The sequence below is a fragment of the Homo sapiens genome, chromosome 5, assembly GCF_000001405.40.
Source record: "Homo sapiens chromosome 5, GRCh38.p14 Primary Assembly".
NCBI lineage: Eukaryota > Metazoa > Chordata > Mammalia > Primates > Hominidae > Homo > Homo sapiens.
This window is the reverse complement of record NC_000005.10, coordinates 55,259,726-55,276,771: the sequence shown is the minus strand read 5'-3', so window position 1 is coordinate 55,276,771 and position 17,046 is coordinate 55,259,726. Positions and strand designations below refer to the sequence as shown.

General features: G+C 35.7%; 1 protein-coding gene and 1 long non-coding RNA gene across 7 annotated transcripts in view; one reads left to right on the top strand and one right to left on the bottom strand.

Moving 5' to 3' along the window:
• The window catches only part of CCNO-DT (CCNO divergent transcript), a 61,409-nt gene that overhangs the window by 18,531 nt on the left and 25,832 nt on the right, over positions 1 to 17,046 (bottom strand). The window lies entirely within an intron of this gene.
• The window catches only part of DHX29 (DExH-box helicase 29), a 51,640-nt gene that overhangs the window by 30,923 nt on the left and 3,671 nt on the right, over positions 1 to 17,046 (top strand). For 3 of the 6 annotated variants that reach the window (NM_001345964.2, NM_019030.4, NM_001345965.2), the window contains exons 14-26: positions 366 to 506; positions 1,762 to 1,906; positions 2,041 to 2,158; positions 3,395 to 3,479; positions 4,597 to 4,685; positions 6,066 to 6,194; positions 6,285 to 6,360; positions 7,135 to 7,359; positions 8,950 to 9,086; positions 9,541 to 9,634; positions 13,840 to 14,142; positions 15,273 to 15,404; positions 16,828 to 16,924. In NM_001345964.2, coding sequence (NP_001332893.1) covers positions 366 to 506; positions 1,762 to 1,906; positions 2,041 to 2,158; positions 3,395 to 3,479; positions 4,597 to 4,685; positions 6,066 to 6,194; positions 6,285 to 6,360; positions 7,135 to 7,359; positions 8,950 to 9,086; positions 9,541 to 9,634; positions 13,840 to 14,142; positions 15,273 to 15,404; positions 16,828 to 16,924 — 1,771 coding nt within the window. Of the gene's footprint in view, positions 1 to 365; positions 507 to 1,761; positions 1,907 to 2,040; positions 2,159 to 3,345; positions 3,480 to 4,596; positions 4,686 to 6,065; positions 6,195 to 6,284; positions 6,361 to 7,134; positions 7,360 to 8,949; positions 9,087 to 9,540; positions 9,635 to 13,839; positions 14,223 to 15,272; positions 15,405 to 16,827; positions 16,925 to 17,046 lie in introns of all 6 variants that reach the window. The other 3 variants (NR_144325.2, NR_144324.2, NR_144323.2) reach the window with 2 other exon arrangements.

Genomic DNA, 17,046 nt, shown 5'->3' with positions numbered 1-17,046 from the left:
TGGCAATAAGGAACTCCTTTTTCACCCACCCCTCAAATTTAGGGTTGTCTTTGAAGCTTCCTTTCTACATATTCCATTCTTGATTCTTACCTTTTCAGTTCAGCTGATACAATCTATTCTTAACTGTTTCACATTATATGTGTATATATAAATATATCTCATAATGTAATTTGTCCTGAGACTTTAGAGGCAATCCCTCTATGTCAACCAAGTCTTCATTCCCAAATAATACTAAAAATTTTTTTTCATAATATTCTAAATTAACATTTGGTGACATTCAAAAGGTGGTGTCCCCTGTTCTCTTTAAAATGATATTTACTGAAACGAATTTGAATTCACCCATTTATATGCCTTATTCTATGCAGGTTTTTCATCTTGAAGATATAATAGAAGAAACAGGCTTTGTACTGGAAAAAGACTCAGAATATTGTCAGAAATTTCTGGAAGAGGAAGAAGAAGTAACCATTAATGTTACAAGCAAAGCAGGGGGAATAAAAAAATATCAGGTAAAAAGAAAATATTTTGAAAGATATCAGATAATGATATCCAGGGCCTAACCTGCCACAAGAGTTTCAAAATCATGTGGTTAACACAGTGAATTTGAGTATAATTTGATAGATGAGGAACAGATCTGAGAATGAACAAATTTTAAAGGTCATTTCTTTAATCTTTATTTCATAGACTGTAGTCTTTGATTTGTGATACTTTGATTGTCCTCTTAGACTATTCTGGGCCATCTTAGGTACGCATACAAAATCAAGGACCATACAAATTAGAAGCAACTTCTTTTTATAACAGTGATCAGTTATTGAGGAGTACATTAGTAGTGATTTTTCTCTACTTCTCTCAACACCATAGGTGCTCAGGATAGGGCAAGTCCCAAATCTAGATCCTTGCCATTGGTTTTCTTAGCCTCTGTCCTGGCAGGAGCAGGGCAGAGGCAAGATGGTGATAGGTAGATAGTGATAGATAGATAGATAGACAGACAGACACACACACATACATACATACATACATACATACATACATACATACATACATACATAGTGAAGCTGTCTAGGGCATAGTTCTTCCTGGGAAGTTAGTCTCAATGACATGTTTTCAGAAATATCACAAAAACAATGTTATCCTGCATTTTAGCCAGTAGTACTAGATCCAGCATTTTTGTCATAGCCATGATATTTCATGCATGTTTCCAATTTGATGAAAACAAAGTTATCTTTATATTTTAATTAAGCAGATAGACAAAAATTAAATTTTTAAAGCAAAAATTAAAATCTTGCCCTAAAACCCCAGAGGTAAAAATTACAAACTAAAGAAAGACTTTAGAATATAGTTATTTCAAAAGAGATGATTGGAATCCAGGAGCCAAAGTAGAATGTAGAAGGAATGAGCCAGGTACAAACTACTTACTAACGTTATGACCTCTCTTGGCCTGGCTGCTTTTTAGTTGCCACAGAATGATGCATACATGATTACAGTATGTTTTTCTACAATTCTTTTAGTATGTATATGCCAAGATAAAAAGGTTTTGCTATACCTAAGGGCTGGATGACATTAAATTATAGGACAGAGATGATATTTTCTGATACTCTCACCACTATTAAAAAGTATACGCTTCCTGTATTTTAACAAAATAGTAATGGTGACAATGAGAAAAATATAGATTTGAATGAATGCAAATACCGCCTTTTTTCCTTCTTTGTCTTACAAAAATACTTAATATTTTTATTCACCTCCCTCTGGTTGGATTTCTTTTAGGAATACATCCCAGTTCAGACTGGAGCACATGCTGATTTAAATCCATTTTACCAAAAGTACAGCAGCCGCACTCAGCATGCTATTCTATACATGAATCCTCATAAAATCAACCTGGATCTCATTTTGGAACTTCTTGCATACTTAGGTATATTTCTATTTCTAATGGGTCTCCATTTGATTTGATAAAACATTTCTACTAGCTGGAGATGTTTTATTAATATTTTATATGCTGTTCCTTATCTTCTTATTTTGAATATTGTATCTTTTTAAAAATTTCAGATAAAAGTCCCCAATTCAGAAATATTGAAGGAGCAGTATTGATCTTTTTACCAGGACTTGCTCATATTCAGCAGTTGTATGATCTTCTATCAAATGATAGAAGATTTTATTCTGAACGGTAACTACTCATCTTCATTATATTCCTGGTAGTTTTAAAATAGGAAAATATTTGGTACATTAAAACCCTTGATCAGAGTTTTCAAAGTCTTTTCACCATGGGTTAAAATTACCTATGGGGAAGTAAGATTTTTTTCTTTAAACACTTCCATTATAACATGTTATCTACTAAAAATTTTTAGGTACTATATTCTGCATTTATTCCATTTTATTTTATTTTTGAGACAGATTCTCTCTCTGTTGCCCAGGATGGAGTGTAGTGGCACGATTGCACCTTTAGCCTCAAACTCCTGGGCTCAAACAATCCTCCCACCTCAGCCTCCTGAGCAGCTGGGACCACAAGTTGTGCACCACTACGCCCAGCTAATTTAAAAAATTTTTTTCATAGAGACAAGGTCTCCCCCTGTTGCCCAGGCTGGCCTCAAACTCTTGGGCTAAAGGGAACTTCTCACCATGGCCTACCAAAGTGCCAGGATTACAGGCGTGAGCCACTGCCTGTAGCCTTCATCTTTTTTTTTTTTTTTTTTTGAGGCAGAGTCTTGCTCTGTCGGCCAGGCTGGAGTGCGATAGCGCAATCTCAGCTTACTGCAACCTCTGCCTCCGGGTTCAAGTGATTCTCCTGCCTCAACCTCCCCAAGTAGCTGGGACTACAGCCGCATGCCACCACGCCCAGCTAATTTTTATATTTTTAGTAGAGATGGGGTTTTACCATGTTGACCAGGCCGGTCTCAAACTCCTGACCTTAGATGATCTGCCCATCTCAGCCTCCCAAAGTGCTGGGATTACAGGCCTGAGCCACCGCACTTGGCCAGCCTTCATCTTCTTAAGATTAAGCAGAGGGAATCCTGTGGTTAAAAAGTAAGATGGTGACTCCTGCCAACCCGCTAAATCGTGCAAAACTCCAACCAAGCTGCAGTTTATCATCCATATATATTTAATCAGCTGTTTACTATATGTTTTGATAGAGTTTATTACTACTGTAGTAAACCATATAAACCACTTCAACATTAGAAAGAACATTAAAAAAATTTAATCCTATTCGCATAATTTGTTTATATTCTTTGTGATGCATGTATATGAGGTTTCATTGTACAATTCTGTAAACACTTGTGTATGTTTAAATTTTTTCATAGTAAAAAATCTTAAAGTTGCTTGCTATATGCAAATAAATTTTGTTATTCTTTGCAGTGTCTTCTAAAGAGAAACTCTTGCTAAGAACTATGATTTTAACTTTCAGATATAAAGTGATAGCTCTGCATTCTATTCTTTCAACCCAAGATCAAGCTGCAGCATTCACACTTCCCCCTCCAGGAGTCAGGAAGGTAAAATTTAGTACAGCAAATTTATATGTGATCCACCTGAGAGTATTTTATGATGGCCGTATAACTTTTTATCATCAAAGACAGTTGTTAACATTAAGTGCCTTATAGCGCATTGCCAACTCCAAGTGTTCTGCACCTTGCCATCATCAGAAGTGAACCCAATGTTACAATTCAAGCATTTGAATATTTACATTATGTGCTATTTAAGGGAGAAGACTTCATTGAGGGAGTGCTAGTTGAAAAACATAGTATGGATGTTGCCTGTTGAGGAAAAAAAGTCACAACTTTTTCCCAAGAAGGCATCACAAAGGAGATTGGATATTTAAATCCTGGGAGTATTCTTGTTGTTCTCTAGGCAGATCTTCTCTGATGATTTTTATTGTACATAAACCATTGGGTAGGTCACAAAGCTAATAAGTAACAGAGCCAGGACAACAACCTAGTTCTCATTAATGTGATTTTTTTTTCCTAATAATAGTGAAGGGTTGTGCTAAGCTGTCTCCATTCTCTACCCAGTTCCCCATTCTACTTATGTTTTTTTGTTTTGAGACCGAGTTTCAAAACAACACTCCAGCCTTGTTGCCCAGGCTGGAGTGCAGTGGCACAATCTCGGCTCACTGCAACCTCCGCCTCCTGGGTTCAAGCGATTCTGCTGCCTCAGCCTCCTGAGTAGCTGGGATTACAGGCACCTGCCACAAAGCCTGGCTAATTTTTGTATTTTTAGTAGAGACAGGATTTTGCCATGTTGGTCAGGCTGGTCTCAAACTCTTGACCACAGATGATCCTCCCGCCTCGGCCTCCCAAAGTGCTGGGATTACAGGCGTGAGCCACCGCACCCAGCCCTACTTATATCATTTTTAAGAGATTGACTAGAATTAGGGGAGTGGTATTTTTGTTGGAATAAAAATCTGTATTTTAGATTTAGTCTAATTAGTAAGCTAAGCTGACAAAACTAGAGTAAATTAAAATTACACAGTAATAGCAAATAGATTGTAAATTTTTGTGACTGAAATTGAAATTCAGTTTTTAAATTTCATCAGCTCAAACTAAAGAAATTTAAATAATGATACATTCATGAAAGTAGTCTAAATGTTTTAAGCTTTTTGTTTATTTTCAGATTGTTTTAGCAACCAATATTGCAGAGACGGGTATCACTATTCCTGATGTTGTATTTGTAATTGATACTGGAAGAACAAAAGAAAATAAGTAAGTTTAAATTTCCCAAATCAAAACATTTTTAACCTGGAAAGAGGTTGGGGCTCTTGAATTCTTGGGAGAAATCCTAAAATTATTTAGGGAAAATCCTAAATGTCCTAGTTCTGTCCAAAGCAAAAGCCTTAGAGAAACTATAGGAAACTTTAAAATATCTGAGAGTAAATGTCAGAATTTCATTTCATGGGTTTTCCCATAAGTAATACCAGTATACTGCTACTTTTAGAAAAGTGCTGAGAAAAATTTTCAGAACATAAATTTTTATAGATATTTTATTTGTAAAATAAATTGTTTAACAAAAAGCATTCTTTGTGATTATTTAAAAAAGAAACATGGCTTTTGGAGTAAGAGCTGAATTTAAATCTCTTGAGCAAGTAATGTAACATATAACCTCTCTAATCAGTTTCTTCATTTGTAAATGGGTAAAATGAAAATTTCTTTTATTTTATTTTTGAGACGGAGTCTTGCTGTGATACCCAGGCTAGAGTGCAGTGGCACAGTCTCACTGCAGCCTCCACCTCCCTGGTTCAAGCAGTTCCCCTGCCTCAGCCTTCTGAGTAGCTGGGATTACAGGCACATGCCACCACACTCGGCTAATGTTTTTGTATTTTTAGTAGAGACAGGGTTTCACTATGTTGGCCAGGCTGGTCTCGAACTCCTGACCTCAGGCAATCTGCCTGCCTCGGCCTTCCAAAGTGCTGGGATTACAGGCGTGAGCCACCTCGCCCAGCCAAAATGAAAATTTCATAACTGAAAGTGCCTAGTTCAGTAACTGGAACCTAATAGGTAACTGTAACTGAATTTTCAACAAAAAGATTACTACTGTATAAATAATGTTTATATTGAATAAATAGGACAGACCACCTTTAGTAATTTACTATAATCTAGATACACTACCCCTGTTTTAGGAAACCATAGCAATATTTGCAAGAGAGTACCACCATTCAATAAAAAGTAGATTCTTGATTCTTTGAATTGTACCTCTAGAGAAAATGTTTTCAGGGTTTAACTGTATCGTGAAAGGTATGTTGAATTGTAATGTTCACAGTAACACTTCTCAAAATATTTCAAAAATTATCGTCACATAATTAATAGGTATTCTACTAAATTTAAAAAAGATTCTGTGATCAGATTAGTATGAGAAAGGATAAGTTAAATAATTTTTTTCTTTTGCCAGACTTTTAATTTGTAGTATATTTAGTATGCAATGTTTACTAAATTATTTAAATATGAAGCATAATTTGAGAACTATTGGTCCACAATAATGGATTTTTTAAGCCTGTGTTTAACTTAGTTGTAAGAGTCAAATCCAGCTTTTTCCAATTTTGACTTAAGTCAATTATCTACATATTCTCTCCTAAAACATTTCTTTAGGTACCATGAAAGCAGTCAGATGAGTTCTTTGGTGGAGACGTTTGTCAGTAAAGCCAGTGCTTTGCAGCGCCAGGGAAGAGCTGGGCGGGTCAGAGATGGCTTCTGTTTCCGAATGTACACAAGAGAAAGGTATGGCATAGCACTGGAAATGTAAAACACATAAACCAGTATTGTGTGACATTTCTGATAATATGTATTTAGTATTACTTTATTTTTCAGATTTGAAGGCTTTATGGATTATTCTGTTCCTGAAATCTTACGTGTACCTTTGGAGGAATTATGCCTTCATATTATGGTAATCTCAAGGGAACTCGGATGGATTTTGTCCTTCGCCCCTTTCTAGAAAAGAAAAAAAATGAACACCTAAACTTACCTTATATTGCTTTAGATTTTCAACTTTTTTACTCTTCTTTAATATATGCCCTTATCCATCTTATTATAAGTAAATCCACTGTGTTTTGATTTTGCCAGACACTTACACTTTATAGATTAAAATACAGCCTCATAATCTAGACTAGTAGTTCTCAACTGGGGGCACTGTTGCCTACCAGGGGACATTGGGCAATGTCAGGAGATATTTTTGGTTGTCATAATTGGACAGGGAGGGTAAATGGTATCTAGTAGGTAGAGATCTGGGATACTCCTAAACATCTGACAGTGTACAGGGCAGCTCCCTAAAACAAAGAATTATCCAGCCCAAAATATCAGTAGTACTGAGACTGAGAAACCCTGACTTAAACAAAGGTCTTCTTAGACTGAAAGATCTATAATATCCTTCAGTTCTTAGATTTTTGACTCCTATCAAAATCAGGAATGAAGAAACTAAAAATGTGGACTGGAAAATCTAATCCTTATTCCCTCCCCACCCAAACACACACATACACTCATACACTCTTCCCCCCAACTCCTCTACCCCCATTATAAAAAAAATAACAGGATAGCCCTACTTTCACATTTTACCCTCTTTGCTCAAAATTTTACTGAAGTCAAATTTAGTTCCACTAACATCTCATTGGGTAGTGTTCATTCTTTGATTTCATACCAATTTTATTGCTTTTTTAATCTGCAGAAATGTAATCTTGGTTCTCCTGAAGATTTCCTCTCCAAAGCCTTAGATCCTCCTCAGCTCCAAGTGATCAGCAATGCAATGAATTTGCTCCGAAAAATTGGAGCTTGTGAATTAAATGAGCCTAAACTGACTCCGTTGGGCCAACACCTTGCAGCTTTACCTGTGAATGTCAAGATTGGCAAGATGCTTATTTTTGGTGCCATATTTGGCTGCCTTGACCCAGTGGTAAGTCAAACAATGCTGCTGCTTCTTTACTTTAAATATCCTTTGACCAGGAAATTACAAGTTTGGAAACAATTGTTAAGTAAAAATTTTTTTAACTAAATAGAATGTCTATACGAACATTAAAACCGAGAGGGCCTGAATGCTTGAATTTTTTTTTTTTTTTTTTTTTGAGACAGGGTCTGGCACTGTTGCCCAGGCTGGGGAGCAATGGTGCAATCTAGGCTCACTGCAACCTCTGCCTCCGGGGTTCAAGTAATTCATGCCTCAGTCTCCCAAGTAGCTGGGATTACAGGCACGTGCCACCACACCTGGCTAATTTTTGTATTTTTAGTAGAGATGGGGTTTCACCATGTTGGCCAGGTTGGATAAGAATTTTTTAATATAATATTTAACTTTTTATATTTATATACTTGAAAATCTGTTCATCCATTACTGAAGTGTTCTGTAAGTACTATTTTGTGAGTGATTTTGGCTTGTCTAAACTTTTGTTTTCAACCCACTTGAAATATTTAATGGAATATGTAGTGGATGATTCTTAGGAAGCTTTGAACACTACCAGCTTTGAAAAGTAAAATTAAAAACTTTTTTTCTTTCCTTTTTTGTCCTCTCTCTCTGAGCCAATAATTAGCAGAGTTCTCTTTTCTCAAATTATGTCAGAATTAACAAATTCAAATCTGTCTGAGTCTCTGGGCACAAAGCTTTACAACTTTATCAAGCTATGGCCTTTTCTGGGATTACCAATAAAGGCTATTTAAATACAGAATGGAAGCCTGGGCAACATAGTGAGACCCTGATTCTGCAAAAAAATTAAGATTAAAAAATTGGCCGGGCATGGTGGTGCACCCCTGTAGACCCAGCTATTCAGGAGGCTGAGGTGGGAGGATTGCTAGAGCCCCGGAGTAGGAGGGGGCAGTGAGCTATGATTGGGCCACTGCACCCCAGCCTGGGCAACAGAACAAGACTCTGTCTCTAAAAAACCCAAAAATAAAAATAAAAACAGAATGAAGAAAATGTGACTTATTACTATAGTCTCTCTTTGTTTGGTATTTGAAATAGATATTCACTGGAATTTTGCCAAGTTCAAAAAATAACCTCTTCCATGATAGTTTATCTGAAAACCTACAACAACAAATGGATTGTTATGTAGTCCAAATTATTTTTAAAGATCACGGCAGACTAAGAGTGGAAATTCAGTGGTCTTGAGGCCAAGATAACTGAGTTAGGATTCCCAGATTGCCTCTAACTGTATGACAGACTGTAAATCATTTATATAAATGTTCAGATTTTTTTCTCTGATTGTGGTGATAATTGCCTCCTTACCTCACAGAAAGGTTATAAAAGGATTTATTTTTGAAATTCCTTAAAATGAAACAAAAAATAACTGTTTAAAATGAAAATATAAGTTAGCTATAGAATATTTTATATTAAACATTAATTAGTATAATAATACTAATAAACATAATAAAATATTGAAAATAAACAGGCAACTTAAAGTGTGATTGTTTTATGATTTGCTTTCTTTTATAAGTTAACTTTCACTGTATTGCTCTTTAATGATAAATTGTTTTGTCATTTATGATTTATGGATAGGCAACACTAGCTGCAGTTATGACAGAGAAGTCTCCTTTTACCACACCAATTGGTCGAAAAGATGAAGCAGATCTTGCAAAATCAGCTTTGGCCATGGCGGATTCAGACCACCTGACGATCTACAATGCATATCTAGGGTAAAAACATAATCTGGCTGTTATCAGTAAGCCAATTACCTGAGGTTATTTACTTTAAAATATATTACCTTTGACTTATTAAAATTGTACTTCTGAGGTTTAAATTTATTTTTAGTTATTTCATCTGTCAAGGTATAATTATGTTAGAGATTCATGTGTTTTATAATCCTTCCTAAAACTTAATAATAATATATTTGGTATTATATGTATATTAACTCATATTTGAAGTAACTTAATAATTTACTGTTAAACATAAATGGAAAATATCTGTCAATGCTGTAAACAGATCTGTTAATAATATTCTTATATACAATTGGTAGCTGCTACAAGCAAGATCCCTCCCCTTTTAAAATTATAATTTAATTAAATCTTACTTTGGTTACTAGCTCTGAAAAAGAGTTTGGAAAGAGAACATGGTGAACTTTATTCATTAATTGACATTTTATTTATCTAGATGGAAGAAAGCACGACAAGAAGGAGGTTATCGTTCTGAAATCACATACTGCCGGAGGAACTTTCTTAATAGAACATCACTGTTAACCCTAGAGGTAATTCTTAATATGGATCTCTCACTCAGAGTCATGGGTAACTATAATAAGTTATTCTGGAAAAAAGAATGCCTAGGAAAATACTTGTCACATAGTAAGGGCTTAGTAAACATTTGTTGAATTAGTACATTTGTGATTGTACTTCTTTCTTCCAGCAAGTAACTTGTACGTATTACACAGTGATTTAAAATAGTATTTAATAATCATAATATGTTCAAGAAATAATTAAAAAGACTGGCTCATTCCTGTAATCCCAGTGCTTTGGGAGGCTGAAGCAGTAAGATGGCTTCAGGCCAGGAGTTTGAGACCAGCCTGGGCACATAGTGAGACTGCGTCTCTACCAAAAATAAAAAAATTAAATGGGCATGGTAGCACACGCCTGTAGTCCCAGCTACTCAGGAGACCAAGGTGGGAGGATTGCTTGAGCCCAGGAGTTCAAGGTTGCAGTGAGTTACAATTGTACCACTATGTACAGAGTGAGACCCTATCTCTTTTAAAAAAGAAAGAAAAGAAAAAAGATGCAACACAATTTCATAAACACTATCTTGGGAATTAGAAGTCTCAGTTTTTCATTAAAAAAAAAAAAAAATCACCTGAGGTTGGGAGTTTGAGACCAGCCTGACCAACATGGAGAAACCCCGTCTCTACTAAAAATACAAAATTAGCCAGGTGTGGTGGCGCATGCCTGTAATCCCAGCTACTCGGGAGGCTGAGGCACAAGAATCACTTGAACCGAGGAGATGGAGGTTGTGGTGAGCCAAGATCACGCCATTGTACTCCAGCCTGGGCAACAAGAGCAAAACTCCGTCTCAAAAAAAAAAAAAAAACAAAAACAACACAAGGACTGGGCGCAGTGGCTCATGCCTGTAATCTAGCACTTTGGGAGGCCGAGGCGGGTGGATCATGAGGTCAGGAGTTCAAGACCAGCCTGGCCAAGATGGTGAAACCCCATCTCTACTAAAAATACAAAAATGAGCCAGGTGTGATGGCGGGCACCTGTAATCCCAAATACTCGGGAGGCTGAGGCAGAGAATTGCTTGCACCCGGGAGGCAGAGGTTGCAATGAGCCAAGATCGCACCACTGCACTCCAATCTGGGTGACAGAACGAGACTCCGTCTCAAAAAAAAGAAAAGGAAAAAAAAAAAAAGTTGAAAGGAGAGAATCTACATTTCTCAACTCTGAAATGTGGTTATTTAATTACGAAAAATTTCAAACACACATCAAATTATATGGACATAATGAACTTTCACCCATTTCCCACTTTCATAATTACCAACCTGTGGTCAATCTACTTGTACTCCTTTTATTCTACTATCTGCCCCCTAGATTTTGAAGCATATCCAAGGTATCAGATTTTTTTAAAACATTATCACACCTAAAAATACTCAATTCCTTAATACCATCAAAGATACAGACAGTGTTTAAGTATCCTCAGTTACCTCATTACTGGCTTTTTTTTTTTTTTTACAGCTAGTTCAAAGGATGATCCAAACAAGGCCCACACTTTAAATTTGGTTCATATGTTTTTTAATAAAGTCTCTTAACCTATAGTTACCACTTTCTCAGTTTTTTCCTATTTGCCATTTATTTTTTGAAGAAACCAGATACATTGTCCTGTAGAGTTTCCTGCATTCTGGATATGGCTGATTGTATCCTTGCGGTATTATTTAACATATTCTTCTGTGTCCTGTATTTCTTATAAAGGGGTGGTATATTGAGAGTTTAATCCAATTCAGGTTCATCTTTGTTTTTTTTTTTTCTTTTTTCTTTTTTTCAGAGTCATCTCCCTTTTTGTAACATTAAGATATATCAATGGGGTCAGCTAGGTTCATCCATTACAAAATTCCCCACTGGCTTTTCATGTAATGCTGTTAGCAGCCATTGATAACACTCAGACCTATTGTTTCATTAGAGTCTGGATATGGTTGATTGTATCCTTGTGGTATTATTTAACATATTCTTCTATGTCCTGTATTTCTTATAAATGGGTGTTATATTGAGAGAGTAATCCAATTCAGCTTCATCTTTGTTTTTTTTTTTTTCTTTTTTCTTTTTTTCAGAGTCATCTCCCTTTTTGTAACATTAAGATATATCAATGGGGCCAGCTAGATTCATCCATTACAAAATTTCCCACTGGCTTTTCATGCAATGCTTTTAGCAGCCATTGATAACACTCGGACCTATTGTTTCATTAGGGTTGCAAATGATGGTATTATAATTCTACTTGTTAGCTAGAATTATTTCATGAAGAATTACTTTTTCCTTATCAATATTTGAATACCCTGAGGTACAGTCTATACAAGAAAATTAGGATAAATGCTTGTTTCCTTCTACCTAGCAGTTTTCATAATGAGTTGATTCCTAAGCATCTCCACAAGTAATCAGTGAATCTTGTTTTTTTAAAAAATTGTTATGAACTTAATGATTTAAATATATTTGATGTGTTTTAGTTCTCTACAGATGTTAATTTTTTAATACTCAAATTGTCCCCTCTTTGGGAAGTGAGAGCCCCTTTGGGTTGGCTGCTGAGTCCTTTTCATATAATCTTAGCAATCTTTGATGGCTTCCTTGCTTTTCGTACGGAAGACTTCTCTAGTGTATTTTATGCTCCAGGCTTGGAATCAGTCATGTTTCCAAAGAGCTCTGATTCCTTTTCAGGAAATTCTATTATATGTCCCTAAATATTGGCCAGCTATTTAGCTACAGCCTGGGATGGCTAGTTATGAAAAGGCATTCAAAGCATCATACTTAGTGGCTGGTTGTGATCAACTTTATCAGTCTGTTCTTAGGAACGGAAACCAGATGGTTTAGCCCATTACTCAGGTTGCCATTCAGGAGTAGATTTATTTCTGGGAAGAGAGAGAGTAGAAGTGTAGTTAAAATGTAAAGACAGGTGAATGTGAAAAGCAGGGCTCCCCCACAAATACTGTCTTTTTGTTTTTTTATTGATACTTATTTAAAAGGAAGTGATGTTTAATACGATATGCTATAAAAGTTTTTTTTTTAAATAGATGGGGTCTCACTGTGTTGGCCAGGCTGGTTTTGAATTCCTGGTCTCAAGCGATCCTCCCATCTCAGTCTCCCAAAGTGCTAGGATTACAGGTGTGAGCCACCTCACTTGGCCCAGATATGCTATAAAAGTATTCAGAAAATAATGTATCTCTCACATAATTCCCCTTTATATACTCATATTTTAAAAAGTAAAAAGGTTTTTTTCCCATATTTGACACACTGCTTTTTTGTGATTAAAAAAAACTGCTAGGATGACAGCAGAGACTTCTCTAAGTGGAATGAACTTTGTCCTTCTCGAAGCACATGAAGGGCTAAATTGAAGAAATAGCCCCCTCTGGCCAACTGACTGGGAACATGTAGAAATCCCAGTCAGCTGGCCCAGAGGGGGCTATTTCTTCAATTTAGCCCCTTTTCCTTTATCTTCAAATTGCTTTCCACCCCTTCTTCTGTGAGCCTTTTCTTCACCTCCCTGAGACTACAAAGTTTTAGATGTCTTCACCAACCCTGTGGTGTTATGGCAGCTGTCTGTTTGGTCTTTTCTCTCCTAGAATCAAAGTCCCTTAAGCCCCAAACTTAAAACATAAAGGATATCCTAAAGGTAAACATCACCTTTTAATTGCTTGTATCCTGTGTACTTTGAAAAATGCCCACCCTTCCTGTGCTAGTTTTGCTGATCAGCACATATTAAACATAGAAAAACATTTTAGGCAACAATTTTAGATTAAATGAAGTTGCCATTAATAAATTCTTTCAAAGTTCTTTAAGAAATTAAGATGAGATTTCCAGAAACAAATAAAGAAGGTACTTGCAATCTAGGATCAAGATTTCTGTCAATTCTTTCTCAATGCTGACCATCCTCATTGAGTAAAAATCTCCAGAGAAAAAGGAGAGCTACTATGGAAGTAGATGTAGTGAATGAAAATGTGTTCAGACACATTTTTCTGGCTCTCAAATTTTAGACATTCTTATGTTTTGAGGCACCTGAAGTCTTTGGGTGAGGAGAATAGCTGATTCTAATTCTTGACTTTCCAGTATCTTTTTTTTTTCCCTAAGGTAATTTGGGCTATCGTTAGCCAAATAATCATTAGCATCCTGTCAATTTTTATAGGAAGCAGTAATATAAACTACAATGTTATTTGGAAATTCCTCTAATCAATTTGATTATTTGTGTTTTTAACATAAACCAATCTAGGATGTAAAGCAGGAGTTAATAAAGTTGGTTAAGGCAGCAGGATTTTCATCTTCCACAACTTCTACCAGCTGGGAAGGAAACAGAGCCTCACAGACCCTCTCATTCCAAGAAATTGCCCTTCTTAAAGCTGTACTGGTGGCTGGACTGTATGACAATGTGGGGAAGATAATCTATACAAAGTCAGTGGATGTTACAGAAAAATTGGCTTGCATTGTGGAGACGGCCCAAGGCAAAGCACAAGTACACCCATCCTCAGTAAATCGAGATTTGCAAACTCATGGATGGCTCTTATACCAGGAGAAGGTGAAGTACTCATTCCTAAATTCCAGTATTCAGAGCATTATTCTGCAAGTCATTCATAACAAGTTAGGATGCCCTAACAGGTATTTTATTTGGTTCTCAAATTGAGCTATTCATTTTTGTTAATATTTGAAATCAAGATGCACATAGCTTCTCAAACAAAAGAATGCTTATTTTCTCTTCAAAAACAAATAGTAAGGTTTCTACTCTGCCCATCATCTTTTCTACTTGGAATAAAGACAGTAATAGCAAATTGATGTTGGTTAATAATGTATCAATCCCCTTAGTATTTCATTAAAAGGTGCTGCCTCAGAAGGGAATAAAAGACAGGTTGTATGTGCTATTTCCAAATAAGGGGAATATTGGATGGTGTAGTAGAACTGTGGATGATTTGCAACAGTTTCGGTCAAGTATCACCTAAGATAATTTAATAGCAAATATTTATAGATTACAATGAAAACAACCTTTTGAATTGGAGCTGCATGACCACTCCATTTTCTTATTTTTTAACATATGGTAAAGGTTAAGATGGCATTTTCTCTTTATATTTTGGGTTTTTGTTACCTGTCTCATTCACACATTTTTTAAGGCAGTATGAGAAGAAAAGGGAACATAAAGAATTGAAACATATTTCTTCTCCCTTTACAAAAAGTGCCTCCATTTTGTTTCTTGACCTTTAAAATAACAAAGATCCGTAATTTCAAGCACTGGCTTGAATAACTCTCAACATTTATCAAACTTAAATGTAAAACGAGAGATTACTGATTGATGCCCATAGCTGAATGTTGGTTTAGAAACCAGCAACTGAAAATCATAATTTTAACATTAATTATTTAATATCATTAGCATATAAAATTGCTTGTACCTAGTTTCCTTTATGTTCAAAGTATATAACTCAGCCTTAGCAATAATATTTAAAATGCCTTTTCATAGCATTAATGCACAGGTGGTAATAGTAATTATTATAAAATTGATAAATTATGCACATAAGAAAATGAAAATGTAGCTTTACAAATACTCTGAGCTTAAAATGTAGAATAACAAATTGTAGAAAAATGCTTACTTGAAAAAGATAAATGACCTCCTTCTATTTTTATATTTTGAAGTTATTTTCCCCCCTTTTTCCCATGTAGATAAGGTATGCCAGAGTGTATTTGAGAGAAACTACCCTAATAACCCCTTTTCCAGTTTTACTTTTTGGTGGTGATATAGAAGTTCAGCACCGAGAACGTCTTCTTTCTATTGATGGCTGGATCTATTTTCAGGTACATAGTACAACTGATTTTATTGATTATTAAAAATTTTCAACTTCCAGTACCATTGAGGTACATTTTTTAAATTTTATTGGAGTTTGCATAATTTCTTCTTAATATGAGTTAAGTAGAATTCCTTATTTTATCTTGCCTCTGTGGTTTTAAATCTGTTAAATTTGGAAATCAAATTATATTGCTATTACAAATTCTATTTATTATTAATAACAATTCTAGCTTTCTATGTGTTGGGTACTTCAATAGTTAACTTTATGTGGATTTTCCCAAATTAATATCCTAGCAACCTTGTTAGGTAATTTCTATAGTTTCTTTTACATAGAGACACTCAAACACAGTGAGAAATTAAATAATTTTCCCAGGATTTACGTGGATTGTTACTGACAGAGCAAGATTCAAATCTAGGACTATTTGATACCCAAATTTATTCTCATTCCACTACATTGTGGAATAAAAAGGAATAAAAAAGACCAAACAGATTTATAGTTTATAATTCATACTGTTGAATTCTTCTCTGGAAAAATTAGACCAACCTATGCTTATTTCTGGCAATAAGTTTATCTGTTTCTCTGTACTCCCATCAAGATTGACCAGCTTAAACTAAGCAAACCTATTACATTGTTAGGTTATTCTATGATAGCTGTTTGTCTAGGACTGGAGAGGTGAATTTTAAGTGCAGCTTTACAATTATATGCAGTTTGTGCAAAGAAATTGGGGTGGTGGAAATGTTTTATAACTGGATTGTGATGGTTGCACAATTCTATAAATTTACTAAAAGCTATTGAAATTAGTGAAAATGAGTGAATTTTTATGGTAATTTTTATATCTCAATAAAGCCGGGTGCCATGGCTCATGCCTGTAATCCCAGCACTTTGGGAGGCCGAGGCAGGTGGATCATGAGGTCAGGAGTTCGAGACCAGCCTGACCAACATGGTGAAACCCTGTCTCTACTGAAAATACAAAAAATTAGCCAGGCATGGTGGCAGGCACCTGTAATCCCAGCTACTCCGGAGGCTGAGGCAGGAGAATCGCTTGAACCTGGGAGGCGAAGGTTGCAGTGAGGCAAGATTGCGCCACTGCACTCCAGCCTGGGCAACAGAGAGAGACTCCATCTCAAAAAAAAAAAATTTCCCTCCCCAAAACTGTAGTCTTAACTTCCACAGAGTTGATATAAATAGAGAAGAAAACAATTATTGGAGTAATAGTTGCCTTATTTTGGGAAGAGTTACCAGATTTAATAAGGAAATTGACAGGTTTGCATGCCTAGCTAGCAGAAATAATTTGTATTTTTCCCATTGTGTTTTCCATTAAAAGCAAGATGTGCTAAGGCAGATTGTAATATAGGCTTGCCTTGATTTACTTAAACACATTCACACTGCCCTGGATTGACTTTGTCCATTTTTTCAACTCCTCTTAACAGGCCCCTGTAAAGATAGCTGTCATTTTCAAGCAGCTGAGAGTTCTCATTGATTCAGTTTTAAGAAAAAAGCTTGAAAATCCAAAGATGTCCCTTGAAAGTAAGTGTTTGCTTATAAGTGAAAGACCATATACACATATGTGTATGTGTACACATACCTATGTATTAATGTGTGGAAAAACTTTCTAAGAGGCCAGGCACGGTGGCTCACGCCCATAATCC